A 27,542-nucleotide genomic window follows, 5' to 3' on the forward strand; every position below is an offset into this window, starting at 1 on the left:
TGTATGTTCTTATTTAATGCTCACATTCTCTGTATGAATCTCATGGCTACATCCAGCCAGTGTTGGTGCACTGTCACATTTAAAAATGGCTCACCTACAAAAACTAAAACGAAATCCACATGTTCACTTATAACTGGAAATGGGAAAGAGGTCTACTAGGAGTTGGAAATAATTTTTTTTTTTTTATTTTGAGATAAGGTCTCGCTCTGTCACCCAGGGAGAGTATAGTGGCATGATCTCCACTCACTGCAGCCTCCACCTCCCAGGCTCGAGCAATCCTCCCACCTCAGCTTCCCCAGTAGCTAGGATTACAGGTGTGTGCCACCACACCCAGCTAACTTTAATTTTTTGTAGAGACAGGGTCTCACTATATTGTCCAGGCTGCTCTGGAACTCCTGGGCTCAAGCAATCCTCCCACCTTAGCCTCCCAAAGTGCTGAGATTACAGATGTGAGCCACCCTGCCCAGCCCAAATTAATTTTTAAAGGTTTGAAGGAGGTTAGGGTATTAACATTTCAAAAGCCATTTGGGGTATAGGAAACATTTGTGTATGAGCAAGGAGGAAAGAAATTTGAGGAGCAGAGAATAGAACAGTGTAGCTGAAATACAAGATGGTGGGGAGGGAGTAGAGTGGAAGACAGGCACTATGGGAAGTCAGCACCAGGTCTGGGGGCCGCTGAATGCCAAGCTGGGAATCTTAAATGTTAAGGAACAAGGTCATACAATGAATGGTGTGATGTAAACGCTTGGGAGGCGATTTCTGAGGGTAGGTGCTGGGTTTAATGGAAGGAGAAATAAGAAGAGCCCATAGGTGGCCAGGAGCCAGATGGTCAAATGCCTTGACTCCTCTTGCCTTAGTTTGGGTCTTCCAGAATCAGACACTGAAACAAGCATTTGAATGTAAGTCGTGTTGGGGAGGTGACCCCAAGAAGCACAGAGGGCAGGAGGTAGGGGAAGTAGGACAGAAGAGGAAAGAAGCCCATTCAGGCTATGTTGGTGAGCAGGCACCACTACAAGAGTCTGTAGGCATGATCAGAATGGTCCCATTGAAGGGTAAGGAGGCAGTCATGATTACCCATAAATTCCCATGCACTGTTGGTTGGGGACTACTCTTAACAAGGGTGTTAATTCCATTCCCATCTTGCTGCCTGTATGAACCAAGCACATTGCTGTCGCCGGACACTGGTCGCGGAAAGCCACAAGAAGCGCTTGGTCTGTATGGGAACTGCTAGGAGATATGGAAGCAGTGCCCACAGCTCCTATTGTAACTTGTCTCAAGAGCTTACTTTATATTCTGAAGTTAATGGGGGAAGCTTTTGAGGCTTTCCACAAACTGTATTTCAGTCTTAGTAACCACTCTAGCTATATCCCATTACCTCACACCACCCCTTCTTTTTTTACATTTGTTCTGTCAACTGTTCTCTTCACTTGGAGAATAGAGTTTCTGCTCAGAGGAGATAGCCAAATTGCCTTGCCATCTCATCAGGATGTGTTACTTCATTAGGATCTTCCTTTCAAATTGTAGGTCTCTTCTTCATTGGGACCAGAAAAATCTGGGCTCTCTGTTACACAATTCCATGTGTTTCCTCAACACATTTTAAATGAGCATTTACTAAATGCAAGACCTTATTCCAGGTCACAGAAATAGAAAGCAAACAAGACAGATTCTGCCTCAAGAAATTCAGTCTAGAGCTGTGCTATCCAATAGAAATATAATGTGAGTCACAAAGTTAAATTTTCTAGTCGTCACATTAGATGAGTAAGGAGAAACACGTGATTTTAATATAATTTAGCCCAATGTTTACAGAATGTTATTTCAACATGTAATCAACAGAAAGATTGAGATAGTTTATGTTCATTTTTCATACTAACACTCCAAAATCTGGTGTGTATTTCATTTATTTTAAAGACAGGTTCTCGCTCTGTTGCCCAGGCTGGAATGCAGTGGCATGATCCTAACTCATTGGAGCCTCAAACTCCTGGGCTCAAGTGATGCCTTAGCCTCCCAAAGTGCTGAGATTACAGGGGTAAGCCACCACACCTGGCCCTGGTATATATTTTATACTTACAGCACATCTCAACTTTGACTAGACACACTTTAAACGTTCAGTAGCACCTGTGACCAATGGCTACCATTTTGGACAGGCAGGTGTAGAAGAAGGGCAGGAATGGACTGTAAGATATAAATGTAGCTTTAAAGATGCAATGGGAGAGGGCATAATGAAGATGCAAAGTAGGGAGGGAATGGCAAGGAAACCAGACACAGAGGGGGCAATGCTTGAGTGAAGTAATGAAAGATGAGCACATGTCAACCGTGAGAATAAGGTACTTAAAGCACACAGGATAGGGCCTGGCACACAGCAAGCACTCAGTAAACGTTAGTTCTCTTTCCTACCTCCACTTGTCAATGCTGGGAAGAACGGGATGCTTGGGAAAAACTCAGTAGCCTTTTTTTTTTTCTTTTTCTTTTCTTATTTTTGTTGTTTTTTTTTTTGAGATAGCGTCTCACTATGTCACTCAGGCTGGAGCGCAGTGGCGTGATCTCCGCTCACTGCAACCTCCACCTCCTGGTTTCAAGCGATTCTCCTGCCTCAGCCTTCCGAGTAGCTGGGATTACAGGTGTGTGCCACCACGGCCAGCTAGTTTTTTTGTATTTTTAGTAGAGACGGGATTTCACCATGTTGGCCAGGCTGGTCTCGAACTGCTGACCTCAAGTGATCCGCCCGCCTCAGCCTCCCAAAGTGCAGGGATTACAGGCATGAGACACTGTGCCCGGCCTAGCTTCTTTTTTCTACTTTTTTTTTTTTTTAAAACAACAGAGACTATATAGATCTCAATATTTTGCTTCCAGATTTGTTTGTGGGAGAAAATAAAATAAATGTTTTGGTATTCTCTGCCATGAGCACAGCTTCTATTGCCAGCCAAGCAAAAATGCTGGGAAGTATGTTATTCAAATTGGCACCCAAACACCCATACAAAGAAGAAACTCAGACAGGAGTAACTGAAACATCAACACAGCACAGGAGTGCACACTCACAAACAACTGTGCAAGAGCATAAGCCTTAGAATCTTTCAAACCAGGGGTCAAACTTGGGGAATTTGCTTGGGGTCTGACCTTTCTCCTATTAAAATGGAGAAGATCATATTGTATATATTCTAGATCAAATGTAACAGTGTAGGTGTAACCCGGCTGAAATCATGACCCACAATTCCAGTCCAAAAGCCAGGTAACAAATGCCTCCAAAACCAGGTTTCTCCACTCATTAAAACACTGATCAAATGCCTAGTATGTTCCCGACATATTATTTTTAGTGTCTTAGCTGCAAAAATAAGTGCATAGCCCCTGCCATTCAGGAACTCAGTTTAATTATGTGGTAATAAATAAGGTACTTATTGTGCAAATGGCAATTTGTTTGTAGAGCCTGCCTTGGTACTGGGCATTTATGTGGGCCGAGTGGCAAAGAGGCTGTAATTGATGAGAAATATCTATCAGGAACAGGCAAAGAGAGACATCTAGGAGAAGTAACTATCATTAGGTCCATCAGTGAGGAAGCCCAGGGTAGGTTCATGGAATGGTCCACTTAACCACTGCATGCATCAAGAGGAAAGATAGAAAATCAATAGGACTGGATTATGGAAATCCATGGATTTCACTTCAAAGGTTCTGGATTTTGTACTAAAAGCAGAATAATTCACTGAGGGATGAATCAAGAGATTGCTAGAGAGTGTCTCAAGTAAGAGAAGACCATGGGAAGTCTTCCCAGAATGAGCTTTACTATTTCACTTGGTTCAGTTGTGGGAGGTGGAACAGATGAAAGTGCCATATTGGAATAACAGTTCTTTGGCCAGTCTCCCAGCATCCACCCATTGTCTATTTAGTCATGAGATAAGGTGCCCATGGAATTGGCATGGATGGGAACAAAAGAACTCCTCTCCATTTCAGGAGTTGTGAGACAAGGAGGGGCTGTGGTTCTGTCTTTCTGGAGATATGGGGCATCGTCTCCATGGAAGTAGAAGCTCCCAGAAAGTAAATCACCATTCATGGGAGTTAAAACTAGTGCAAATGACCCATGCAGCATATTCACAAACACTGACACTCAAAAGATTGGAATCGTTTTCAAAAACGTGCCCGAGCTCAGAGTTGACAGATGCCCATAGAATGGAATTGAATCAAGACCAACCATGGAAATGAAACTAGCATTTGCCGAGGACTTGCTACTTGCCAGGCATTTGACACATACCCTCACTGAATCGCGGCAGTGCCTAGAAAATCAGGCATTATCCTCACTTACAGATAAGGATCCTGGATTTCAGAGAGGTTAGGTGGCCTGCCTATGTACACTCAGTCGGAAAGCAGAAGAGTCCGGTCTAGAACCCAGGGCTCCATGTGACAGAAAGACTCCTCTCAATGGCTGGGACAAGATGGAGGCCAGGCATTCCAACGACCACCTGGCAAAGAAAAAGAACTTTCTCTTCACTAGCTTTAGTGTGAACCAAGGTGCTCTCAGGAAGGCTCCGATTAGCCCATCTTTGGTCACATGCTAGTCTGTAAAACAGTCACTGAAGCAGAGGGATGGCTATTGATTGGCCAGCCCGGGTCACATACCCACACCTGTAGGTTCCAGCAACCTGATTGATAAGCCAATCAGGACCATGTCAAGCTGCAGAAGGATCCTTATAGGAAGTGATGCTGGATGGTTAAACCTATGTCCACTACAGCTACAGTATATGGAATACTCATTGTGTACCAGACACTGTTTGAAGCCCCTGTAGAAATCACCACTGACACCCACCACATATTGTCTTGGTGCACCAGAGTTCACCTGCAGCTATAGACAGTTCCTGGCATGGGGACAGCTTTCCACATCAAGCACCTGCACTGGTCTTTCTACTGTGCCTGCAGGCTTCCTCCAACATCACAGGAGACGAATGCATGGGGGTAACCCAGAGTTACTGTGGTGGGGGGCAGGTCGTAGCTTCAACCAGTGGAAGATGGCAGCCAGTGGATAAATGCCAAGATTTCCCACCTTCTAGTCGCATGATTTGAAGGTGTGTTCCACACAGTAGCTCAAAGGGCCCCTTGGCAGGATGAAATGCAAATTTCCCACAATGGCAACTCAGTCAACAGCATGCCCCTTACTGGCTTTTCTTCCTTCCTTGTCTCATTCTCCCACTCCTGCTCCTGCTTTCTGAGATCACATTCCCAATAAACCATTTCCACCCAAGTCCTTGTCTTGAGGGATACTATTGTGGAACCCAAGTAAAAGCATTTTACATGTCTTAACTTGCCAACTACACCCAGAAAAAACCCTATAAAGTAAGTGATGCTATTTCCATTTAACTGATGACAAAATGAAGCACAGAAAAGTAAAATAAAGTGCCCAAAACTACACAGCTAGCAACTGAGTTTCCAGAATTAGGGCTTAGAAACCAAGCCAAGTTCTCTCTAATGTCCAAGTCACTGAAAACATGCATTACTGCTTAAGCTGGAAAAAATTATTCAACAGCTAAGCTAGTGTCATAATTAAATTGACTTCTGGGACCAGCCCTTCACAGTATTTCAAAAGCCTGAGGGAGTGAGAAGGGATTATTGCTGTTTTCCTGATCCTGGAGAACTCTATCCAAGGCCAACAGGAGAGGACCCAGCAGCAGTGATGAATTAATGGGCTATGCTGGGAAAAAGGGAATCAGACCAGCCCCAAGAATCACAATACATTTGTTCTCTTCATCCTTTGCTAAAACAAACAAAATATCAATTTACTGAGCCCAGGCTGCTGCTCAGGCTGACCGCGGATGTTAAGAGCTGTTCTGCTTGTCTTTGTTTGGAGGCAGAAGTTTAATTATCCCAATGGTCCTTTGAGATTAATCAACTAGCAATGAAGGAAGTCAGTCTATCATTAAATTGCACTTAGATAATTTAATTATTAACTAGATAAATTCAGAGTGTATTTTTAAAACTCCCATTCTTACTCAGGACCTCTCGTTCTCTCTCTCACTCTCCCTCCTAATGTTAATATTATGAAAGAGACTTGATTCAGTTCTACAAATATTACTAAGCCTTGGCTATGTGTATGGCCCTGTTTTGCATGTTGTGAAGAAGTTAAACACAGCCTGGCCACTGCTGGCAAAAAGCCCATGGTTGGGCCGGGTGCAGTGGCTCACTCCTGTAATCCCAGCACTTTGGGAGGCCGAGGCGGGTGGATCACGAGGTCAGGAGATCGAGACCATCCTGGCTAACGCGGTGAAACCCCATCTCTACTAAAAATACAAAAAATTAGCCAGGCGTGGTGGTCGGCGCCTGTAGTCCCAGTTACTCAGGAGGCTGAGGCAGGAGAATGGAGTGAACCCAGGAGGTGGAGGTTGCAGTGAGCTAAGATTGTGCCACTGTACTCCAGCCTGGGCAACAGAGCAAGACTCTGTCTCCCCACCTCCAAAAAAAGTCCATGGTTGAGAAGATGGTGTGAGACAGGGACATCAATCACCAGGAAAAAGCTAGAAGCATAAAGAGAAGAGATGCATGGGGCTTGGGGGCGCAACAGTGGAAGAGGTGGTGTTTGGATAGAGGATAAAGAAGCTCTATGGAATGGAGGTGGGATGGACACTCTTGGTTTTGCCTGCCAAATTTGGCTCATAGTTCTGTGGTCAAAACTAGAGACTCTGAAGACAGATGGCCTGGGTTTGAATCCTGACCAGCTGTATAGTTACTAGCTGGATGACCTTGACCAAGTTATTTGATCTCTGGACCTTTGCTGGCTCCTCTGTAGCAGGGTATGATGATGCTGAAGTGTTATCAGGTTATGGTGTATATTAAATGAGTCAGTAGGTGTAAGATGCTTATGTGAGTGCCTGGTACATAAGCAACTGTAATTGTGATGTGTTTTGTCCATTGCCCCTGATTTTCCTCTGGGGAAAGACCCACCCTTTATATATTGTGTTGGGGTTTCTGTAAATCAACGTGCCTAGCCCTTGCTTACTCAAGTGAGGCTCATGACCCAGGGAAGGTCAAATGAATGTTCTAGTAATTTGAAGTTTAAGAAGAGAGATGCAAACACAGACAAATAGGGTAGAGCTCATTCATTCTAAAGACAACGTCCTTGGCCGGGCACAGTGGCTCACATCTATAATCCCAGCACTTGGGAGGCTGAGGCAGGCAGATTACCTGAGATCAGGAGTTCGGAACCAGAATGGCCAACATGGTAAAACCCCATCTCTACTAAAAATACAAAAATTAGCCAGGTGTGGTGGCAGGCGCCTGTAATCCCAGCTACTCAGGAGGCTGAGGCAGGAGAATCGCTTGAACCCGGGAGGTGGACGTTGCAGTGAGCCGAGATCCTAACATTGCACTCCAGCCTGGTGGACAAGAGCAAGACTTTGTCTCAAAAAAAAAAAAAAAAAAAAAAAAAAAAAGACAGTGCCCTAAAGATACTCTCCATGAATTCCTGATACCCAGATCCCCAAAGCTGCTTAAGTTTCTATTTTTCTCTGAGACCAGAAGTTTTAAAATTGGATTCTGTGAGCTTAAGTTAGCCAGACCTGATTTCTGTTACATGCAACCGAAGAACCCTATCTGATAAAAAGAGAGCCTTTGAACTGGGTCTTGAATCATGTGCCAGGGTTATAACTCAGATGGTTCCACTTCCCGGTTACATCCATATAAAAAGCACATTTATTTTAAAAAGATCAGGACACATAGCTGGCAAAGGATTTTTATCGCACATCAGTGACAAGAGCAGCCTAAGAGAGTATGAATGCCAAACTATAGTCATTCCTGAAACAGTCCAGATTTTTCATTAAGACGTAATGGTCAAATATTTGAAGTACAAAAAAATACAGCCAACATATTCATGGATCAAGAGCAGTATTTGCCAAATTTCAATTTTTTGTGTACCACTTTGTGATTTTTGCCATACCTAGGTCCCGGGTATCACTAATATTTTTTAATATTATATATGTAGATATATATACACACATGCACGTATACACACCTCCCCCTCAACACATACCCCATTACATCATTAATGCTTCTCTTTAAATCCACCTACTTTTAAAGTCATATAAATGTATTTTTAAATTATATTACTACCATAAATGGAAAATAAATATTGTCCATGAATAGAAGGCAATTATAAGCATTAATACCATGGAGCAAGGTTAGGGAGTCCCACTGGTCAAATATGGAGCAATTTCAGCACAAAATAAATACATAGTAGATCATAACCCACGAATAAAATAAAAACCCATGAGCCCAGCAATAACTAATATGCAACTGTAGTCAAATGCCAACAAATAAATACAAACAAAATGGAGTTAGAAAATCAAGTCGTTGGTGAAAGTTTAATGAGTAGCAGGTTTTCCTTGCCTCAAATGTTTCCCCACAAATTACCAATTAATTACAAAGTGAAAATTGATAACTTTATTGTTGAGAAGCCCAGCAGGCTACATCTTAACCAAGGGATCAAAGGTGACACCACCAATGTGAACCAGCCGACACTACTTGCTTCCTAATAGTATGCACTGAGAGGGACACAACATCACTTCCTTAATATCCACGCCAAAATATGCACAACTAAATTTATTCAGGAAAAAACATCAGGCAAACCCAATCTGAGGAACATTCTAAGAAAATAATCCCAGAAAATGGCCTGTACTCCTCAAACATGGCAAAATCAAAAGGGCCAAAAAAAAGGCTAAAGAACTGTTACAAATTTAAAGAGTCCAAATAGTAGACAAGACAGCTAAATACAATGTGTGATCCTGGACTGAATTCTGGAGTGAGGCAGTAGCAGTTGGGGGGAACTTATACAGAACATTATCAGGACAATTGATGAAATTTGCATATGCACTAGATTAGAGCGCAGCGTTGCATCAATATCATGTTTCCTGATTTTGATTATTGCATTGTGTGTATATGAGAGAACGTCTTAGGAATTACACACTTGAGTACTTAGGTGTAAAGGAGACTGATGTTGAATGTTGAAGACAACATTCATTTTCTCAGGGTTCCAAAATAAATACGCATCAAGAGACAGAATGAAGATTATAAAACAAACGGGGCAAAATGTAGTCAGGTGAATCTGGATATAGGATAAAAAAATTCCTTATATAATTTTTGCAACTTTTCAATAAGCTAGAAATCATAATAAAAAGTTACCAAAAATCACTAACAAAATTAATATCATAAAACATGTTATTAGAGTTGTCGACGAAAAAAATCTAACTTTTGTCAGATACAGTGAGTTCTGCTTCAAAGCTTTAGTTTTTGACCTCTTTGTTCTTCATTCTCAAGATCAGCTTTTCCTTGTCCCTTCTCCTAAGCTACCTGCTCTTTAAATATCTCTTGCCAGTCCCAATCTGTAATTCACATCTCCGTTGTTTGGAAAGAGTCCTCTTTGCTCCTGGCTACCCATTCTGTAAGCTGCCCCTCCTGCCTAAACAGCTCTTCCTGCCTTTGCCGTGCCCTGACATGCCCAAACATGCCTTGTACCATAATGGACAGCCTCTCCCTTCCCATCTAATTAGCCATATTCAATTTTAAACTGTAGCCAATCGGTTCAGTTTAGATTGTCCAGTCCAACTCCAACCAACGGGGACAGGACACAGAAGGAGGGACTAACCACATTAGGGATAAAAACCCCTTCCCTATTTTGTGGGGTATGCCCTCCCAGCAACCAGAAGTGTAAGCAGCACCCTTCTGCAGAAGTAAATCTGGCTTGCTGAGAAATCCTTTGACTGCTGGTTTCCTTCCAACTCCAAGCTCTTGTTTCTAACGCTTTGTAAAATATTTGAAGAGATTTATTCTGACCCAAATATGAGTGACCATGGCCCAAGACACAGCCGTCAGGAGGTCCTGAGAACTTATGTACAAGGTGGTTGGGGTGCAGCTTGGTTTTATATATTTTAGGGAGGCACGAGACATCAATCGAATATATTTGAGGAATACATTTGTTTGGTCCAAGAAAGGCTGTACAAAGTGAGGGGGCTTCCAGGCTGTATGTAAATTTAAACGTTTTCTGGTTGACAATTGGTCAAGTTTGTCTAAAGACCTGGAATCAATAGAAAGGAAAAGTTCAGGTTAAGATAAAAGACTGTGGAGACCAAGGTTCTTTTGAAGTCTCATAGTGGCTGCCCTTAGAGACAATAGATGTAAATGTTTCCTACTCAAGACCTTTAAAAGGTGCTAGACTCTCAGTTAATCTCTTTGGGATTGGGAGGGCTTGAAAGAAAAAGATGTAGCTATGTTAAGAGATTCTTTACAGATGTAAATTTTCCCACACAAAGGACAGCTTTGCAGGGCGATTTCAAGAGATGGGAAAGAAACATGTTTTGGGGTAAAATATTTTGATTTTCTTCTTTGTCACATAATGTTATGCCAGAGTCAGATTGGAATGTGAGTCATGATATATAGGGTTAAATAAAACCCATCTGATGAGAATTTATGGTTTGCAGGGCAGGACTTCCCAGACCCCTTAGATATTTGGGCAAGATAAGAAAAAAAAAAAAAAATCAGACCTTAATCCCCAGTGGCAAGTTAAAAACTATTGCCCATCAAATTCTCTAATACTGGAGACCAGTTTCTTAATAAAAAAGAAAGAGGCACATTTTAGAAAGATTTTAAAAGGCATACCACCATCAAGATAAAAAACTACCTCGATACTATAATCAAGGTTTGGAGAGCATTGGAAAAGAAAAAGCATTTCCCCCAGTGTGATCCAAAGCTCTTTAATGTATGTGCGCCAGTGGTAAGAGCATTCAACCTGGGGAAACCTTCTCTCAAGCAAATGAGGCTTGCAGAAACTTTGACCCATTGAGTAGCTAAAACCAGGGAAGGCGGTAGGACAGAGCAGCCTGACATTTTTGCACAGCTCTTGGCTGAGAAGATGTGCCAGTATGTTAAATTTAATACACTGGTTTTGCCTGTTAGAAATCCACTTTGCTCACAACAGTTTTGAAACAGACCTCACTTTTGGGTGGTGACAATATTGTCTGCAGCCAGGCGTTTCTATTTAAATGCTGGCTAAACCCAGCTTCAACAATGAGTCATCAGGAGAGAAGTTCTGTTCCCCACATCAGGAGACCCAGATGGAAAGAGAAACCATCTGCCCACCAATCCTGTAGTCTATATCCAGCTGCCAAGCATCTGCAGTCCCACAAATGAGATAGAACTCCCTGAAATGGCCCCCCCAAAATGGTCCCAGTACTTTAAAAGGGCTAAGCTTCAGTGCCACCAACTACCAAAGCAACCTCCATAGAATTTTTAATGTGGTACTGAGAGAGTACTGGGAATCCCCAGTCATATTTATTTATCTGTTAACACCAGGAAGAATCCCTGCTAAGCAATCTTGATGGATTATTTCATTTAATCCTCTCACTGTCAGAGGAGTTTGAAACAGAGCAACTCCGTCCTGAGTGAGGGCTAGGAAAATGAGGCCGAGACTTGCTGGGCTGCATTCCCAGAAAGTGAGGTATTCCTAGCTTCTAGATGTTTATGGTTAAGGGAGCAGATTCATAGTGTTTACTAAACAGACCCAGACTTGGGAGGGTCCCGATATCCCCATATCTTGAGAAGAGAAGCATTCCTAATTTTGCTTGAAAGATAATATTGATTCTTGCAAAATATAGTAATTAAGAAAATTAATCCTTTATCACAAACCATTGTAGCAGAGCTCATCTCCCCATGATCTTTTCTTTTTTCTTTTTTTTTTCTTGAGACAGAGTCTTGCTCTGTTACCCAGGCTGGAGTGCAGTGGCACAATCTCGGCTCACTGCAAGTTCTGCATCCTGGGTTCATGCCATTCTCCTACCTCAGCCTTCCGAGTAGCTGGGACTACAGGCACCCGCCACCACGCCCGGCTAATTTTTTGTATTTTTAGTAGAGACGGGGTTTCACCATATTAGCCAGGATGGTCTCAATCTACTGACCTCGTGATCCGCCCACCTCGGCCTCCAAAAGGGCTGGGATTACAGGCATGAGCCACTGCGCCCAGCCTCCCATGATCTTTTCTTATCTCATATATATATACACATACGCACACACACATAAGTATTGTACCTAGGTGGATGCGTTCCCCCTTAGTTTAGGGAATGCCCTACTCTGTCTATGGAATGGCTGTACTTTCACCACTTTACTTTTTTAATAAACTTGCTTTTGCTTTGTACTATGGACTCACCCTGAATTCTTTCTTGCATGGGGTCCAAGAACCCTCTCTTGGGGTCTGGATCAGGACCCCTTTCTGGTAACATCACCACATGAGACTGTGCTTTTGTTTCATAGATGAAGAAACTGAGGCTAAGAAAAGTTAACCAACTCACCCTGGTTCTACAGCCAGCTACATGATACCAGGATTCAGATCCAAGCTGTATGCCTCCAGAAACTATGTTCTTGGCCACTATCAACCACTAAGCTGGGTTGCCCCAAGGAAAGTAAAAGAGGCAACCCACTTGGTGGGTTGCCAAGTGAAAAACAGAATATGCAGTTATATTGGAATTTCACACAAACAATGGGGGAACAATTTTTTAGTATAATTATGTTCCAAATATAACATGATACATACTTATACCACAAAAGTTATTGTTTATCTGAAATTTCAATGTAACTGGGCATCCATCCAACCCGTATTTTTAAATCTGGAAACCTTATAGCAGGTAGGACCAAACCTATGCAACCCCTAGCTCAGAAGACATGTGGCTTGACTATTAGGCCACAAGAAGCAACTACAGCTTCAGAATCCAGGTCTTCTGTAAACCTTCCCAAATGTCTACGTGCCTAATAACCATCAGGTCATTTTTTAATTTTGGGGCATTGGTGGGATGGTGGTACGTGAGTTCTAGCAAGATGCCAGAGAATCCCACAAGGAATTATTATAAAGAACAAACAGGGATATCTGTGAGAAAAACCTACTGAAGCAGCATTGTTGTCTGGGGTAAAAACCGGGTTTGTCATCTCACTCCAAGAAAATTAAGGACACAGACACATGTGGATAGGTTAAGGAGTGGAAAGTTTAACACGCAAAAGAAAGGAGAGATGAGAGCAGTTCCTTGTGAGAGAGATGCTAAGGAAAAAAAAAGTGGGGGAAAGGTGTGGACCACAGCAGATTTTATAGGCAGGCTTGAGGAGGCAGTGGCTGATTTACATAGGGCTCACAGATTGGTTTGACCATATGTGATGTTTACATAGTATCGGGAAAAGGCTGGTCACCCCAACCTAATCTTATTATGCAAATGGGCTTTCCACTTGGCCAGGGCCATCTTGTCTGCTGCTTACTTCTACACGTGGCTGGCAAAAAAAGAAGATGGAGCTGCCATTTTGAACATGCCTATTCCCAAGTAGTATATTCCTATGGGCACAACTGTGGGCATTCACCCATGCAAGCTTCCAGCTTGCTTATGTCTGCAGCTTGATTTTACAGGATGTTCTTTGCTAGAAAGGAATATGATTTAGGGGCTGCTTTACATTAAAAGGGAAACCTTACCAAGGACTTTGCCAGAGATGATGAATTCCTCTTCAAAGGGTTAATTGTGTAATGTCCTTGTCCTTGGTTTGGAGGCCTCATCTCCTTGTACTTTGTTTCTAGTCTGAGAGCAGCCCTCCTGCTCTTGTTGTGCCCTGACTTGCCCGGACACGTCTGAACATGCTTTGTGCTGTAGTAGAGGGACCACTACTGCCCCCTCCCTCCCTTGCGAATCACACATTTACCCTACTTGGAAAAGTTTAAGTCTTAGTCAATCGGGGTCAGCTTAGATTATGCAGTCTAACCCTAGCCAATAGGGGAAGGACACAGGGATAGGGACTGCGTTAGGGATAAAAACTCCTTCTCTCCTTTGTTTGGTGTGCTCTTGCAGCTGCCAGAAGTATGAGCAGCACCCTTCTGCAGAAGTAAATTTGCCTTGCTGAGAAATCCTTTGAGTGCTCATTTTCCTTTCAATTCTGAGCTCGTTTCTAACGGACTTCCATACCTTCACTATCTAAGTAATTTCTTCTTAGCTCCTAAATCACAACAGTACTGGGTCCAAAGAGTGAGATAGAAGCCTGAGCCTCACATCTCAAACCCAAGACAAGCCCTGGATGGAGTGTTGCAGCTGTGTGACCTCCATGACACCACTTTTCCTCTTTGAGCCTCAACCTCCTCCTGTGAAAAAGGAGAGCATTGAACTAGGCTGGAGGATCTCAAAGTTGGTCTCTGGTCTGCCTGCAACAGAGTCACCCAGAGAAATTGTCAAAGAGGTAGATTCTGTATTTTTTTTTTTTTTTTTTTTTTTTTTTTTGAGATGGAGTTCCTCTTGGTTGCCCAGGCTGGAGTGCAGTGGCACCATCTTGGCTCACTGCAACCTCTGCCTCCCAGGTTCAAGCAATTCTCCTACCTCAGCCTCCCAAGTAGCTGGGACTATAGGTGTATGCCTCTACACCCAGCTAATTTTTGTATTTTTAGTAGAGACAGGGTTTCGCCATCTTGGCCAGGCTGGTCTCGAACTCCTGACTTCAAATGATCCTCCCACTTTGGCCTCCCAAACCGCTAGGAGTACAGGTGTGAGCCATAGCACCCAGCCCAAAGAGGTAGATTCTTGATTCCCACCCCAGACAAACCAAACCAACAATTTTACAGGAGCCAGAAAAACTGAACTTTAGTAAGATCCCCAAGAGGTTCTGATGCATCCTGAAGTTTAAAACCAACTGGACCAATCTTGAAAAGTAGATGCTAAATGAAAGAAGCCAAAGACAAAACTTCACATATTCTCTAATTCCATTAATATGAAATATCCAGATTAGATTAGTCTATACAAACAATAGGTAGATCGGGGATACAGGGAGGAGGAATGAGGAGTGACTGATAGATATGGATTTCCTTTTAAGGAAATGAAAATGTCCTGGAATTTGATAGTAGTGATGGTTGCACAACTCATAAATATAGTAAAAAAAAAAAAAAAAACCACGGGCTTGTACACTTTGAAATGGTTAATTTTATGATAGTTCAATTACATCTTAATTTTTATTTGTTTTATTATTATTTTTTGAGATGGAGTCTCACTCTGTCACCTAGGCTGGAGTGCAGTGGCACAATCTTGGCTCACTGCAACCTCTGCCTCCTGGGTTCAAGCAACTCTCGCGCCTCAGCCTCCTGAGTAGCTGGGATTATAGGTGTGGGCCACCATGCCTAGTTAATTTTTGTATTTTTAGTAGAGATGAGGTTTCACCATGTTGTCCAGGCTTGGTCTCAAACTCCAGACCTCAAGTGATCCACCTGCCTTACCCTCCCTTAATTTTTAAGTATAATAATGAGTTTAAAATGGTAATGGGAAAACAAAATCACTCAACTGGATGATCCTAGATTAGGGTTCCCCAGAATGTGCTCCCCAGAATTCTCTGCCAAAATCCTCCGTAAGAACTGAGTATTAGAGTTCATCCCATGGCCAGGCATGGTGGCTCATGCCTGTAATCCCAGCACTTTGGAAGGCCGAGGTGAGCGGATCACCTCAGGTTATGAGTTTGACACTAGCCTGACCAACATGGTGAAACCCAATCTCTACTAAAAGCACAAAAATTAGCTGGGTCTGGTGGCGCGCACCTGTAAACCCAGCTACACGGGAGTGTGAGGCAAGAGAATCACTTGAATCAGGGAGGTGGAGTTTGCAGTGAGCCGAGGTTGCACCATTACCCTCCAGCCTGGGTGACAAGAGCGAGACTCCATCTACCCCCCCAAAATAATAATAATAATAATAGAGTTCATCCCAGAAGGTCATAGGGCAGCTACTAGAGAGGAAGAGCTCTGGGAAGGTGTGTTGATAAAAGAGAGAAAATCTTTGGCCCAGATATTCCTACACTTACTTTCACCCTAAAGAACACCTGACTAAGTATCTATGAAACAGCCATTTAGAGGTGGAAATCCATGTGAAATGCCATTTCCTCAAATTCACGGTCAATCTCTGCAATTGGCATATAGATAAGAGGGCCCCTTGCATCACAACCTTCGGCTGGGGAAGTGGTCTGCACAGACACTGACCTACCTAAATATATCCGCCTCCTGTAATCATGACCACTTCATGGTCATTTAACTCCTCTTTTTTCAAACAAAACTTCATGGCAAGTCCATCCCAAGTCAGGCAGAGAATTTAGCTACACTTAGTAAATATTTGCAGATGTATTGATGAACTGAAGATTAAGTTCAAAGGTAAGGTATGCTTGCTTCATAGACACACAGCTCCAGCGCAGAGCATGACCCAGGATGTTAGAGTAGAAGAGGAAAATATGATGTGATGCAAGGAGACAGACCTGGGTTCAAACCCTGCCTTCATTTGTTCAACACGTTTTGATTGTGCACCAGCGATGTGACAGGCATTAGACTAATGAAACGGAGGAGTTTTCCCTTATTCCTCCCTCAGGGCATGCAACAGGGGTGTGGCTCACTTCTTTGGTGCCCTGCTGCTCAAACCCCTAGGGGGAGCATACAGACGGGCAGGTTATAAGGAGTGCTTTTGGGCTCTCACCCCACAGCCGTGTCTGGGGTTGAATGTTTCCAGCTCCCAAAGCCCCAGCGGATGTGTATTACAGTGAACTCTGTCAGTTTTGCCGTCTGCAGGCAGCTTGTATTAATTGCTCAATTAGACCTTCTATCTTACCATAAGGAACAAACTAATACAGAGGCCTTTCTGTATTCCAGGTGCTTGCCCTAAGTGTACCAGAAAAATTGGATGATACACGGGCTTAGAGGATGGGTGCAAGATTTTACTGAGTGGTGGAGGTAGCTCTCAGTGAAGTGGATGGGCAGCCAGAAGGGGGATGGAGTCGGAAGGTGATCTTCCCCGGGAGTCAGGCCGCCCAGGAGCTGGACTCTCCTTTGACTGTCCCGACTAAATTATACATTGTCCTGCCTCGATGGTCTGCCGGTGTCTGCTAGTGTATGTCAGTGTGTTCTTCTGCTCTCTCTTCATATTTAGCTGCTTGTATCTGTGCCCACTAGCGTCTCAGGTTTTTATGGGCACAGGTTGGGGTATGGCAGGCCACAGTGGTTTTGGAAAATGCAACATTTGGGTGGAAAAACAGGAGTGCCTGTTCTCACTCAGGTCCATGGACACAAGCCCAAGAGTGGAGCCCTCACCAGGGACCCAGCCCTTCTCTACCTAGCATTTCCCTGCCCCCCTCCCGTATCACTAAGTATGGGCATGGTTGGGTATATGCCTCAATTTCTCTGGAGCTATGAGTAGAGTTTCTGCTGCTTAGCTGTGTGAAATGACCTTGGGTCATTTACAGAAGGTCTCTGGATTCGTTTTTTATTACTGCATAATAAGTTACCACAAACTTTGGGGCTTAAGGCAATGTACATTTACTATCTCATAGTTTCCATGGGTCAGCAATCGGAACATCCCTTGGCTGTGCTGTTTGCCTGGGGTCTCACAATCCTGCAATGCTTTTGTTAGCAGGCTGTATTCCCTGCTGAAGCTCAGAGTCCTCTTCCATGCTCACAGGGCATCTCACAGCATGGCAGCGTACTTCTCCCTTCATGGAAGGCCAGGACCCTTTTATAAAGGGCTCCCAGTATTAGGCTAGGTCCATACAGGGTCATCTGTGAACTCAAAGCCAACAAATTTGGGACCTTTATTGTATACGCAGAATCAATCCCTTCACCTTGTCATATTTTACTGGTTTGAAGCAAATCACAGGTTCCATGCAAACTCAAGGGAAGGAGATTCTATAAGGGTGTTGATATGGTTTGCCTGTGTCCCCACCCAAATCCCATCTTGAATTGTAACTCCCACAATTGCCATGTGTTGTAGGACGAACCTGGTGAGAGGTGATTGAATTATAGGGGCGGGTCTTTCCTGCACTGTTCTCCTAATAGGGAATGAGTATCACAAGATATGATGGTTTTAAAAAGAGGAGTTCCACTGCACAAGTTCTCTTATTTTGCTTGCTGCTAAGAGGTGAAGCCAGCTGGACTTCCTGGGTTGAGTGCAGACTTGGAGAACTTTTCTGTCTTACAAGAGGATTATAACATGCACCAATCAAGCACTCTGTAGCTAGGATTGTAAAACACACCAATCAGCGCTCTGTAGCTAGCTAGAGATTTGTAAAATGCAACAATCAGTGCTCTGTAAAAACGCACCAATCAGCACTCTGTAGCTAGCTAGAGGTTTGTAAAATGGACCAATCAGCACTCTGTAAAATGGACCAATCAGCAGGACATGGGTGAGGACAAATAAGGGAATAAAAGCTGGCCATCTCCTAGCCAGCAGCGGCAACCCGCTCGAGGTCCCCTTCCACGCCATGGAAGTTTTGTTCTTTCACTCTTCAGGATAAATCTTGCTGCTGCTCACTCTTTGGTTCCACACCACTTTTAAGAGCTGTAACACTCACCGCAAAAGTCCACAGCTTCATTCTTGAAGTCAGTGAGACCACGAACCCACCAGAAGGAACCAACTCTGGACACAATGCCATCCACGTAAGACATGACTTGCTCCTCATTGTTTTCCACCATGATGGTGAGGCTTCCCAGCCACGTGAAACTGCAAGTCCAATTAATCCTCTTTCTTAAGACTTGGGTATGTCTTTATCAGCAGTGTGAAAAATAATACAGGTGTAGATACTAGGGGGTGGGAGGGCAGGGTAATCAACTTCAAGTTCTGCCTATCATACTCTGTAAGTATCAGTTCCTTTCATCGTACTTTGATATTGTTCATGGTAATAGTACTGCTAATGGTACCAAATATTTTCTTTTAATGACAGACCTTCTTAGAGCCTTTCCTCACTAGTAGCTGCCCTGTGACCTTCCGAGATGAGTTCTAATACTCAGTTCCCATGGAGGCTTTTATCAGAATTCTGGGGAACACACTCTGGGGAACCCTGACCTAGGATCATCTAGTCCAGTGGAGGTTTTTCTCATGTTCTTTGCATTTTGTAGAACAGCAAAATGGGAGGAGCTTAAACCACCTTGCAATATTGTCAAGAGAATAAAACAAGAAATCGTATAGAATGAGCAAAGCTGCCAATTCTCCCTTAGGAAGAATAGCAAATATTTACCATGATTCTTCATGGCCAAGTCACAGAAAAAGTTGAATGGCCACTATATTATAGCGATTAAGGACATGGCTCTATAGTCAAACTACAAGGATTTTATAAATCCTGGCCTTACTGCTGATTTACGATCTGTAGGTCCTCGGGCAGGCTTGTCATAACCTCACGTAACCACACCACTTTCCTTATAAATAGAGTGAGGATAACAGCCATCAGTCTGTTGGGCTATCAAGAGAATTAAGATCATATACATAAAGCATTTAGCTTAGTGTTTGGCTCATAGAGCTCACATACCATCAACTCATTAGCATAGCTGGACAATTTTAACCTCAGTAAGAAAAGGAAGTCTCAAAAGATTACAGTGACAAGTACATATTTCAAAAACTTTAAACTTCACTATAAAGTAAAAACAAAAGTTGTAAGAAATCCTTGAACTTGGACTCTGGACTGTTTCCCAATAACACATGCTAATGTGATAGCTAAGTCACTGAGCCTGCAGTGCAAATCCTGTTGCACCTCCTTAAAAAATCCTGAAACAAGTACAGGAGCCCTGCCCTTCACCTTCAGGAGTAGAGAATTTGATGTCATAGTGCTACAGGTCCACATTGACATTTGATTTCTCCAGGAGGGGAAAAAAAAACGTATTTGGTCATAAAGAAGCCATGAGTTATTTGTTAGATGAGGGTGGGCACCCTATTTTGCTTTTATGAAGCTTTCCTGGGAGAAAAAACTCTGCTACATTTTTAGTACCTAAATAGGGGATGCATCAGGATTGGAGGCAGTTAAAATAGCAATTACCAACAGCAGCTCTCTCCGGTCTACAATATCATAGAGGATTTCTATTTCCTACATTATTTGCTTTTATAATCTATGGATTTGTAGAATGTACATGCATCATTGTGCACGTAATCCAGAAAACAAAAAACATATGTGTATGTACATATGCACGTGTATGCACGTGTGTGTGTGTGTGTGTGTGTGTGTGTGTGTGTGTGTGTGTGTGAAGCTGGAGGTAGCTGGAGCATCTCTGGACCTCCAAGAGGGCTGATGAGAGCCCCAGAAAGGCTCCCCAGAAAGCCTAAGGGAGTGTTTCTCAAACTTCAGTTGTACCTCAGAATCCTAGGAGACTTGTGAAAAGCCAACACAATTGCAGACTAAAGCCCTCCCAGAGATTCTGATCTACGGAGACTGCCATTGCCTAGGAATCTGCATTTTTATGTACAGCAGCCCCAGGCGATTCTGCTGCATTTTGAAAAGTGCTGGTTAGGACCCGGGCCTCTCCTGTGATGGAAATGATCTGAGACTGCACAGCCCAGTGTCATCTCACCATGACAGGGGAGGCCCTGTTCTATACCTGGGTCTGTAGGTCAGGAGTGTGGGATGGCTCATGGGAAGGGGAGAAAGAGCTTGCAACTAAGATGTTCCAATATATTTTTAAAAATTAGATGCTAAATTTATAAAAATATACAGATCTACAGTTGCATGAAAAGCTTTTTCTCAATCCTATCTGTGAATTTCTATGGCAATGGAAATAAATTCATTTGAGGATAAAGGGGAAAGTCTAAGTGTCAGACCTTTTGTGAAAGAGACCTCACCTTCTGCCTCCCTCCCTTCCCCCTCTTCCGCCGCCATGACAAGCCCCAGCCTAAAAGGACATTCAAGGCTCCTCCCAGAAGGCTCCCAGCCAGCCAGCAACCGGGTACCAAGCTTGGACTTGGCGTCAGCCTCCTGCCACCTAGTGGTCAGTCCGGGACACACAGCTAATTTATCTTAATTTCCACTCCACTCTCATTGGTTGATCCAGCGGACATTTGTCTAGCTCCTGTAATGTTGCCAGGCAATTTGCTGGGCTATGGAGGTAACAACGACTTCGTCTTATAGCGCTGAAAGGAATGTGCTGGCATTAGTTAAATCATTCCCAATGGTGAAACTGAGGCCTGGAGGCAGGGAGTATGGCTTACACAGGGTTCTGCATCAACTCTGATAACTCGCTTAAAATATCCTTTTCTCAGCCAGGCGCAGTGGGTCACTCCTGTAATCCCAGCCCTTTGGGAGCCCAAAGCAGGGGAGGACTGCTTGAGGCCAGGAGTTCAAGGCCAGCCTGGCCAACATGGTGTAACCCCCTCTCTACTACAAATGCAAAAATTAGCCAGGCGTGGTGGTGCATGCCTGTAATCTCAGCTACTCGGGAGGCTGAGGCACGAGACTCACTTGACCCTGGGATGCAGAGGTTCCAGTGAGCTGAGATCACTCCACTGCACTCCAGCCTGGACGACTGAGCGAAACTGAGCAGGGGATAAGCTAAGCCCAGACTCTTGACCTGTAGAAACTCATCATGAATATGATCATATCATAAACAAGCCTCAGAGTTTGTGGTCATTTGTTACACAAATAGGAAACTAAAAAAAATTCAATAAATACTGAAAACGAGAGAGATGAGAGCGGGAAAGTAGAAAGTGAGGGAAATGGCAGAGGAAAAACAGTAAGTAGGTGGGTCCATTCTGTAAGGTATTTATTTGATTTTAGCACCAATGAACTCAGGAGGTCGAAAGATGTAACACTGTTTCACCCTCTCTGTGGGGGTGAGATGGGATGTGAACCTTCAGCACCAGTGACTGTCTCTTCAGCAAGCTCAGCAGGGAGGAAATAAAGTCCTATTGATAGTTCTGATGCTTAAGCCCCAGAGAAGCCTCCAGCCCAGAGATAAGTAAGCTTCTCTGGGTGTTCATATGTGGTTCACTTGTCTGCCTGTAGAACACTGGAACAGGAGCTGTTCATCTCCACCCAAACCACTAAGAATGCATTTCTCACAACTCAGGTTTTGTATCTACGTGGAAAAAAAAAATGCTGGGCAGAAAAAAAGCTGTATGATCTTCCTTGGGTGAAAATAAATTTTATCTCAGATACTAGTGGACATTAATTAAAAATTCATGGAATAGCTCTCAAGAGAGAAGATGTCAGTAAACATTAGAATATAAGCTCTATGAGGGCAGGGATATTTGTCAGTCAGGTTTACTCTTGTATCTTTGCACCTAGGACACTTTCTGGCACATAGTGGGGCCAACCGATATTTAACAGATAAATCTGAAAGAGGGTGGATAGAGGGGCTGCTGCAGTCTAGTCAAAACTAATCAGGGTCCTCTCTACTCATCGCCCAGCAAACCAGGTCTGATCGAATATCTTCCTGTCACCTCTACCTACCTACTCTCAACTTGACAAGCCTTGAGGGAAATGGCGTTATTCCAGAGGAAGCAGGAAGCAGTATGAGTCCTAAATTGTGACTGTGAGCCACAGTTATATCACCATACTCAGGCCCCATCTCCAGGAGTGTCTGATTAATATTTAACCAAGCATTGTCAGGTCTATAAAGTAAAGGAGAAACCCAATTCTCATCTTTGGACTTCCATTCAGAGTGGAACATTTCATTTGCTAAAAAGCCAATACCTTGCTTTATTAGACAGTTGTGCTCAACAAGTCCATTCAACATCTGTAGGATGCATTTATAAATACACCGAGCTCAGCGGCTCACACCTGTAACCTCAGCACTTTTGGACGCCAAGACAGAAGGGTCATTTGAAGCCAGGAGTGTGAGATAAGCCTGGGCAAAAAAGTGAGACCTCACGTCTGTAAAAAAAATATTTTTTTTTAGATTAGCCAGGCATGGTGTCACATCCCTGTAGTCCCAGCTACTCAAGAGGCTGAGGTGGGAGGATTGCTTGAGGCCAGAGGTTGAGGCTACAGGGAGTTATGATTACGCCACTGCACTCCAACCTGGATTAGAGCAAGACCGTTTCAAAAAAAAATTAGTGGAAAACCAGAATTTGACTTTGTCACGATGGTTCCTAATGACTAGAAGTAACAAAAAACAGCAAGAGGGAGAGTAGAGGAGGAGAATGAACTTGGAGTCATGTGTGCCAGATGCCATATCCTCAGCCATGAATCAGACCCACTCTGATATCAGATCCCATTTCTGAAAGGTGTGGTCTAGTAAAAAATACAGGCACTGTTAAATTACAAATTACACAAAGTACAGTGCTTAGTGTTTCAAAGAGAAAGTATCCAGTACTCCATGTCCCCCTAAAGTTTATAAGAAAGTTCTGACGGTCAGCAGAGTCCTTCCTGAAAAGGTTGAAATCTAATGGATTTTGTCTGGTAAAGACTCTACAGCAAACCTTACTGACTACCTATCTAAAAGCTGCCCCTGCTGATTCTCTTGTTAACAGAAAACTTGGTATTTTTGTTTGTTTGTTTGTTTGTTTGTTTGAGATGGAGTTTCACTCTTGTAGCCCAGGCTGGAGTATAGCAGTGTGATCCTGGCTCACTGCCACCTCCACTTCCGGGGTTCAAGCAGTTCTCTTGCCTCAGCCTCCCCAGTAGCTGGGATTACAGGCGCCCGCCCCCATGCCTGGCTAATTTTTTGTGTGTTTTCAGTAGAGACGGTGTTTTCTCATGTTGGCCAGGCTGGTCTTGAACTCCTGACCTCAGGTGATCTGCCTGCCTCGGCTTCCCAAAGTGCTGGGATTACAGGCATGAGCCATGGGTGCCGGGCCCAGAACATCTGTTTTGTTCAAGTATCTGGTACTTTTTTGCGCTCAGAAAATGTTCTCCTGGCCCCAGTCTAGGAATGACCCTGTGGCCCAATTTTGACCAATGAAACATTAAGGGGAAATCCGCTAGGGGGCATCTGAGAGCAAGTTCCCTCTCTAATAAGAGGGAGGTATGTGAGCACCATCTTTCCTTCCCATTAATACCCCCTGCTCCCTCCTTTCAAAGTGATGCTGTGAAGACGTGACACTTGGAGGTGCTGCAGCCATCTTGTGACTGAGGGGGAAGCAATAGAAATTGCAAAGATACTAATTCAGTACCCAAATGTAAAGCCACTGGGCCCACACTAGAATGAACTACCCTCTCTCTCTAAATATCTTCTTATATGAGAAAAATATACCCCCATTTGTTCAACATGGTGTTAACTGGATTTCTTTTCTTTTTTTCTTTTTCTTTTTTTTTTTTTTTTGAGATGGAGTCTCTCTCTGTTGCCCAGGCTGGAGTGCAGTGGTGCAATCTTGACTCACTGCAACGTCCACCTCCTGGGTTTAAGCAATTCTTGTGCCTCAGCCTCCTGAGTGGCTTGGATTACAGGTACCCGCCATCATGCTCGGCCAATTTTTGTGTTTTTAGTAGAGACAGGGTTTTACCATGTTGGTTAGGCTGGTCTCAAACTCCTGACCTCAAGCGATCCACCCACCTCAGCTTGTCAAAGTGCTGGGATTACAGGCATGAGCCACCGCCCCGGCCTGATTTTCTTTACAGCAGTACATACAACTAACCGATTCAGATTTGTAGCATGACTGTCAGGATTTTAGAAATGAGTTTTGTATCTATTGTTAGATAACAAACAAGCCTAAAACTCAGAGCCAAAAATACAATCATTTGTTCACAATTTTGGGATCTAATGCTGTGTAACAATTACCCCTAGGCCAAGTGCAGCGTCTCATACCTGTAATCCCAGTGCTTTAGGAGGCTGAGGGGGAAGGATTGCTTGAGGCCAGGAGATCGAGAGCAGCCCGGGTAACATAGGGAGACCACGTTTCTAACAAAAAACTTAAAAAAAAAAAATTAGCCAGGCGTGATGGTGGACACTTGTAGTCCTAGCTACTCTGGAGGCTGCAGGAGGAGGATCGTGTGAGCCCAGCAGCTAAAGGTTGCAGTGAGCTATGATCGCACCACTACACTTCAGCCTGGAAAACAGAATGAGACCGTGTCTCTAAAAAAAAAAAAATTATTCCAAACTTTGGCAACTCAAAATAATGATCAACATCTAGTGTCTTCTAAGGGTCAGGAGTTTGGGAGTGGTTTAGCTGGGTGGTTCTGGCTGAATGTCCGCTGGCTTCCCCCAGGGCAAGCAATCCAAGAGAGACAAGTGGAAGTTGCAATACTTTTTATGACGTTATCTTGGAGGTCACATACTCCCATTTGCACAATATCCTATCCATTACACAGGTCATCCCTGTTCAGTGTAAGAGGAGACTATGTAAGTATGAATGAATATCAAGAAGTAAGGAGCAGTCATTGGGAACCATCTGGAAGTGGGTCACCACCACCTACCCTCTAATGCTGTGTCACACAGGACTCAGGGAAACAAAGCGCATCAGGAGATACACATGTGTGTATACACACACACACACACACACACACTTTATTTTTTAAACTCCATTTTGTTTTTTGAGACAGAGTCCCACTCTGTTGCCCAGACTGGAGTACAGTGGCATGATCTCGGTCAGCTCCCTGCAACCTCCACCTCCCCAGTTCAAGTGATTCTCATGCCTCAGCCTCCAGAGTAGCTGGGATTACAGGTGCACACCACCACACCTACTTTTTTTATGTTTTTAGTAGAGACAGGGTTTCGCCATGTTTCCCAGGCTGGTCTCCAACTCCTTGGCTCAGGCAATCCGCCCGCCTTGACCTCCGAAAGTGCTGGAATTGCAGGTGTGTGCCGAGCACACACACACACACACACACACACTTTAAAGGGTTTATTACAGGGATTTGACCCTGTGTAATTGTGCATACCGGTTAAACAGTCTATAAACTGCTACCTATGAAGCTCTAATGCTGGCACTTGGGGTCCACAGGGCCAGCCATGGAGATGGGCACCTCTCACTGCATCCTGCTTTGGTATCTTGCAAGGAAAGCTGGTGGCTCACCTTAACTGGACACACACAGGGAAGTCTGGGACACAGCTGAGCATCGCCAAGTGACACTTTCCAAAGCCACTGAAGATGTTTACCCTTCGTAGAGTCGTGGCTGGGACAGGCACAAAGACAAGTCGGGAGAGCTGCCAGTCTCCAGCTTGCTTTATAGCCAGGTCTAGAGGCGCATTCCTATTTATGTTATGAAAAATCAGAAAGTGATATGCTTCCAATTTGGAAACGTTTCTGTTTATATTTCAATAAAACGTCTATTTAAAACATTGATATGTTTTATGCAGAAGACTTAGAAAAACAAAGAGAAGGCCAGGCGCAGTGGCTCACGCCTGTAATCCCAGCACTTTGGGAGGCCGAGGCGGGTGGATCACGAGGTCAGGAGATTGAGACCATCCTGGCTAACACGGTGAAACGCCGTCTCTACTAAAAAATTACAAAAAAAAAAATTAGCCGGGCGTGGTGGCGGGCGCCTGTAGTCCCAGCTAATCAGGAGGCTGAGGCAGGAGAATGGCCTGAACCCGGGAGGCGGAGCTTGCAGTGAGCCCAGATCGCGCCACTGTACTCCAGCCTGGGCGACAGAGCGAGACTCCGTCTCAAAAAAAAAAAAAAAAAAAAAAAAAACTACCATCTCATCCTCTCAAAGGAACCACTATTATTTTGACCTATCCCTACCATACAGATACTCATCTGCACACATCCCTCACCCATGGCTCTCTACCGCCTGCATTTTTTTTCTTGAGACGGAGTCTTGCTCTGTGGCCCAGGCTGGAGTGCAATCACGCTATCTCAGCTCACTGCAACCTCTGCCCTCCCAGGTTCAAGCAATTCGCCTGTCTCAGTCTCCAGAGTAGCTGGGACTAACAGGTACACGCCACCATACCCACCTAATTATTTTGTGTTTTTTACTAGAGACGGAGTTTCACCATATTGGTCAGGCTGGTCTCGAAGAATTCCTGCCCTCAGCTGATCCACCCACCTTGGCCTCCCAAAGGGCTGTGATTACAGGCGTGAGCCACCACGCCGAGCCCCTGCATTCTTTTGTATGAACTGCTTTTCCCCTTTGGAAATATTCCATGGGTATTTTCTGTGTTAATCAACGTTCTTTTATAGCAGAATTTTAATGATGGCTTAAAAGTCCAATATATTAATCCCCTTTTAGTAATATCCTTTTAATTTTTGATTAGAAATAATTCTTTTTCTGAGCTGGGCACGGTGGCTCACGCCTGTAATCCCAGCACTTTGGGAGACCGAGGCAGGTGGATCACGAGGTCAGGAGTTCAACACCAGCCTGACCAAGATGGTGAAACCCCGTCTCTACTAAAAAAACATGAAAATTAGCTGGGCGTGGTGGCTGGCACCTGTAATCCCAGCTACTTGGGAGGCTGAGAAAGAGAATCGCTTGAACCCAGGAGGGAGAGTTTGCAGTGAGCTGAGATCATGCCACTGCACTCTAGCCTGGGCAACAAGAGCGAGACTCCATCTCAAAAAAAAGAAATAATTCTTTTTCTGGTTCCTGCTAAACTACCATGAATAAAGCCAGGCCAGAGGCTGTCTTTGCTTCTTTATTTTCAGTAAGGGACACTCAAGGCAAGTACTAGGTTTTTCAACAATAATCCGAGCTATCTGGTATATATTTTGGAGGGTGGCCCAAGTCTCGCTGGGCAGAAATAAATTATAGAAAGAAGCCAGGCATGGTGAATGTGGGTCTTTCAGGGACATCAGCCTGTCTCCTGGACTTGCTGTCTCCACACCTAACTGGCCCGGCTCTGCGAGCGTTTCCTGTCTGGTTTCCATTTGAAGAAACCCTTTAGCGAAAAACAGCATCCAGTGCAAATT

General features: G+C 44.0%; 13 annotated features.

Moving 5' to 3' along the window:
* Positions 3,828–3,997: an enhancer, noted in NCBI's record as "experimental_45488 CRE fragment used in MPRA reporter constructs". NCBI's record gives its function as "activates a minimal promoter by MPRAs in K562 erythroleukemia cells, with activity observed for both the introgressed and non-introgressed 16:78020204 variant alleles {active_cell/tissue: K562}" and the evidence as "EXISTENCE:reporter gene assay evidence [ECO:0000049][PMID:34662402]".
* Positions 8,780–9,979: an enhancer, noted in NCBI's record as "MED14-independent group 3 enhancer chr16:78025071-78026270 (GRCh37/hg19 assembly coordinates)". NCBI's record gives its function as "activates an origin of replication core promoter dependent on BRD2, BRD4, P300/CBP and CDK7 cofactors, and independent of MED14, by STARR-seq in HCT116 cells {active_cell/tissue: HCT116}" and the evidence as "EXISTENCE:reporter gene assay evidence [ECO:0000049][PMID:35650434]".
* Positions 8,780–10,005: a biological region, named in NCBI's record as "MED14-independent group 3 enhancer GRCh37_chr16:78025071-78026270".
* Positions 9,313–10,005: an enhancer, noted in NCBI's record as "OCT4-NANOG-H3K27ac hESC enhancer chr16:78025604-78026296 (GRCh37/hg19 assembly coordinates)". NCBI's record gives its function as "activates a minimal SCP1, AML or CMV promoter by ChIP-STARR-seq in naive and primed H9 embryonic stem cells {active_cell/tissue: H9 hESC(naive and primed)}" and the evidence as "EXISTENCE:reporter gene assay evidence [ECO:0000049][PMID:30033119]".
* Positions 10,006–10,699: an enhancer, noted in NCBI's record as "OCT4-NANOG-H3K27ac hESC enhancer chr16:78026297-78026990 (GRCh37/hg19 assembly coordinates)". NCBI's record gives its function as "activates a minimal SCP1, AML or CMV promoter by ChIP-STARR-seq in naive and primed H9 embryonic stem cells {active_cell/tissue: H9 hESC(naive and primed)}" and the evidence as "EXISTENCE:reporter gene assay evidence [ECO:0000049][PMID:30033119]".
* Positions 10,700–11,392: an enhancer, noted in NCBI's record as "OCT4-NANOG-H3K27ac hESC enhancer chr16:78026991-78027683 (GRCh37/hg19 assembly coordinates)". NCBI's record gives its function as "activates a minimal SCP1, AML or CMV promoter by ChIP-STARR-seq in primed H9 embryonic stem cells {active_cell/tissue: H9 hESC(primed)}" and the evidence as "EXISTENCE:reporter gene assay evidence [ECO:0000049][PMID:30033119]".
* Positions 12,086–12,778: an enhancer, noted in NCBI's record as "H3K27ac hESC enhancer chr16:78028377-78029069 (GRCh37/hg19 assembly coordinates)". NCBI's record gives its function as "activates a minimal SCP1, AML or CMV promoter by ChIP-STARR-seq in naive H9 embryonic stem cells {active_cell/tissue: H9 hESC(naive)}" and the evidence as "EXISTENCE:reporter gene assay evidence [ECO:0000049][PMID:30033119]".
* Positions 12,998–14,197: an enhancer, noted in NCBI's record as "MED14-independent group 3 enhancer chr16:78029289-78030488 (GRCh37/hg19 assembly coordinates)". NCBI's record gives its function as "activates an origin of replication core promoter dependent on BRD2, BRD4, P300/CBP and CDK7 cofactors, and independent of MED14, by STARR-seq in HCT116 cells {active_cell/tissue: HCT116}" and the evidence as "EXISTENCE:reporter gene assay evidence [ECO:0000049][PMID:35650434]".
* Positions 13,056–13,557: an enhancer, noted in NCBI's record as "H3K27ac hESC enhancer chr16:78029347-78029848 (GRCh37/hg19 assembly coordinates)". NCBI's record gives its function as "activates a minimal SCP1, AML or CMV promoter by ChIP-STARR-seq in primed H9 embryonic stem cells {active_cell/tissue: H9 hESC(primed)}" and the evidence as "EXISTENCE:reporter gene assay evidence [ECO:0000049][PMID:30033119]".
* Positions 13,558–14,057: an enhancer, noted in NCBI's record as "H3K27ac hESC enhancer chr16:78029849-78030348 (GRCh37/hg19 assembly coordinates)". NCBI's record gives its function as "activates a minimal SCP1, AML or CMV promoter by ChIP-STARR-seq in primed H9 embryonic stem cells {active_cell/tissue: H9 hESC(primed)}" and the evidence as "EXISTENCE:reporter gene assay evidence [ECO:0000049][PMID:30033119]".
* Positions 14,704–14,873: an enhancer, noted in NCBI's record as "experimental_45524 CRE fragment used in MPRA reporter constructs". NCBI's record gives its function as "activates a minimal promoter by MPRAs in K562 erythroleukemia cells, with activity observed for both the introgressed and non-introgressed 16:78031080 variant alleles {active_cell/tissue: K562}" and the evidence as "EXISTENCE:reporter gene assay evidence [ECO:0000049][PMID:34662402]".
* Positions 15,530–15,699: an enhancer, noted in NCBI's record as "experimental_45539 CRE fragment used in MPRA reporter constructs". NCBI's record gives its function as "activates a minimal promoter by MPRAs in K562 erythroleukemia cells, with activity observed for both the introgressed and non-introgressed 16:78031906 variant alleles {active_cell/tissue: K562}" and the evidence as "EXISTENCE:reporter gene assay evidence [ECO:0000049][PMID:34662402]".
* Positions 20,637–20,836: a silencer, noted in NCBI's record as "silent region_7735". NCBI's record gives its function as "represses an Ori minimal core promoter by ATAC-STARR-seq in GM12878 lymphoblastoid cells {active_cell/tissue: GM12878}" and the evidence as "EXISTENCE:reporter gene assay evidence [ECO:0000049][PMID:35858748]".

The sequence above is a fragment of the Homo sapiens genome, chromosome 16, assembly GCF_000001405.40.
Source record: "Homo sapiens chromosome 16, GRCh38.p14 Primary Assembly".
Taxonomy (NCBI): domain Eukaryota; kingdom Metazoa; phylum Chordata; class Mammalia; order Primates; family Hominidae; genus Homo; species Homo sapiens.